The following is a 2,312-nucleotide window of genomic DNA, read 5'->3' on the forward strand; positions in this document are numbered from 1 at the left end:
ATGTCAGTTCTTTGGAATAAATACCCAGGAGCTGGACTGCTGGATCATAAGATAGTTCTAAAAGAAGGAAATCCAGGAATATGTGACAATATGAATGAACCTTGAGGACATCATGCTAAATGAAACAAGGCAGTCAACAGAAGAATACATACTGCCTGATTGCACTTATGGGAGGTATCTAAAATAGTTAAACTCATTGAATCAGAGAGTAGAATTTCGTTTGCCAGCATCTGGGAGGAGGGAAATGGGGAGTTGCTAATCATGAGTCTAAGGTTTCTGTTAACAAAATAAATAATTCCTGGAGATCTGCTATAAAAAATTGCCTCTATAGTTAACAATACTGGATTGTACACTTAAAAATTTGCTAAGAGGGTAGATCTCATATTAAGTGCTCTTAGCAAAATAACAATAATAAAACACATCTATGAGTCAGAGCCTATCTACATGCCACTAGTTGCGTCTTATTGTGTGCTTGTGTGTGTCTGTGTAAAGACATTAGAAACATACCAGCACTGAGTCCTGTGATTGAACAGGAGGAACGTATCACCCAAGGCCTCTATTCCAAACCTACTAGGATACAGAATGAAGTAGGCCAGGAACCTTATGAAAGGCCCTATTAAAAAAAAAAAATAGGGATGAAATCACAGACTGAGGAATATACAAGGAGAGCTTGACAAAAGAATCAGGAGAAATGTCAGAGTCAGCATGTACTTTGCTGCAACAACATCACATAGGGTTCATTTTAACCAATGCCACTTCCCTGCAGGCTTTTGTGCTCTGAGATGGAGAACAGGTAGGTCATTTCTTATTTGTCCTAGAGCTTTGGCAGGGAAAAACTTTTCCTTTGAAACTTCAAAGGCGGGGACAAAGAAAGTCTAAGCTTCCCAGAGGAGTTTTCTTTTTTTAAGTAAATGAACTTCAACTCCACCTGTCAATTGGTTCTCTTGCAGGATCGGGGCATTCCAATTATCTAGATATGCTTTGACTTACTTTCCTACTTACACCAGCCATTGATGAATCTAAATCCAAATGAAGAAGATTCAAATTCTAGAATCATTTAGCAGGACATTTTACCTAGAAATAGAAGGAAAAATATCATCCCTACGACTTTGTATGACTTTGTAAGTACAGAAAAAAAAACTGAGTAAGTAAATTATTTTATGACATTTTTGAGTATTTAGTAGAAGGTGGATTTCTCAATAAGATGAGAAAGAATAGGAAGTGCTTAGCTAAATGTCTGACACATGGTAAGCATTGAGTAATGGTCAGCAATTAATAAAAATTGTGGTTACCAGGGACTGGAAAGGGAGGGGAAAGAAGTTGCTGTTTAACGGGTATAGAGATACAGATTTGCAAGATGAAAGTGTTTTGGACATCTATTTACAACAGCATGAATGTACTTGTATTATACTGAACTGTACACTAAAAAATGGTTAAGATGGTAGATTTTGTGTTTTGTTTTTACCACAATAAAAAAGAAAAAGAAAAAAACGCTAATATTCTCAAGCACCAAGTTTATTGACTAGTATCCCACTACTTATAACTGTGGTTGTAAGTAGTAACCACAATTATCCAGAATCTTGACAGATTTCCTGGCAGTTTTCAAACTTCAATGCTTTTCAGCTCTAAAATGTATACTGTAGTTGCATTATTTTTAAAATTAATACAAATATTTGTACATATTTATGGGGTACATGTGATATTTTGTTACGTGCATCGAGTGTGTAATGATCAAATCAGGGTATCTGAGGTGTCCGTCGCCTTGAGTATTTGTCATTTTTATATATTCAGAACATTTCAAGTCCTCTCTTCTAACTATTCTGAAATACACAATACATAAAAAAAATTCTGCCGTAAACTTTGAAGTGCCAACATCAAAGTAGGAGTATGGATTTTTGGCAAAAATCACCCTACTCTGCTACAAAACATTAGAACTTATTCCTTCTATCTCACTGTATGTTTGTATTCATTAACCAACCACTATCTACTCCCCACCTGCACACTCTTCCCTGCCTCTGATGTCTGTCATTCTATTCTAGTGAACTTTTTTAGCTCCCACATATGAGTGAGAACATGTGATATTTGTCTTTCGGTGCCTGGCTTATTTCACTTAACATAATATAGGATTATTCGTTTTGAGAGCAAAAATCTGCTGATTGTATTCAAAGATACCAAAGGTAACCGTTACATTTATATCGTATTTAAAGTTTAATGAGTGTTCTCACGTATATCATCTCATCTGAACCTTTACAGTGGTCTGGCTGGTATACCGTACCTCATTTTGAAAATCAATAAACTTTCTTTGAGGGGTT

The 2,312-nt window shown here is 35.8% G+C and overlaps 1 annotated feature.

The window, feature by feature from the left end:
* Window positions 610–1,146: an enhancer, noted in NCBI's record as "NANOG hESC enhancer chr5:160535280-160535816 (GRCh37/hg19 assembly coordinates)". NCBI's record gives its function as "activates a minimal SCP1, AML or CMV promoter by ChIP-STARR-seq in primed H9 embryonic stem cells {active_cell/tissue: H9 hESC(primed)}" and the evidence as "EXISTENCE:reporter gene assay evidence [ECO:0000049][PMID:30033119]".

The sequence above is a fragment of the Homo sapiens genome, chromosome 5 (genome assembly GCF_000001405.40).
Source record: "Homo sapiens chromosome 5, GRCh38.p14 Primary Assembly".
Lineage (NCBI taxonomy): Eukaryota > Metazoa > Chordata > Mammalia > Primates > Hominidae > Homo > Homo sapiens.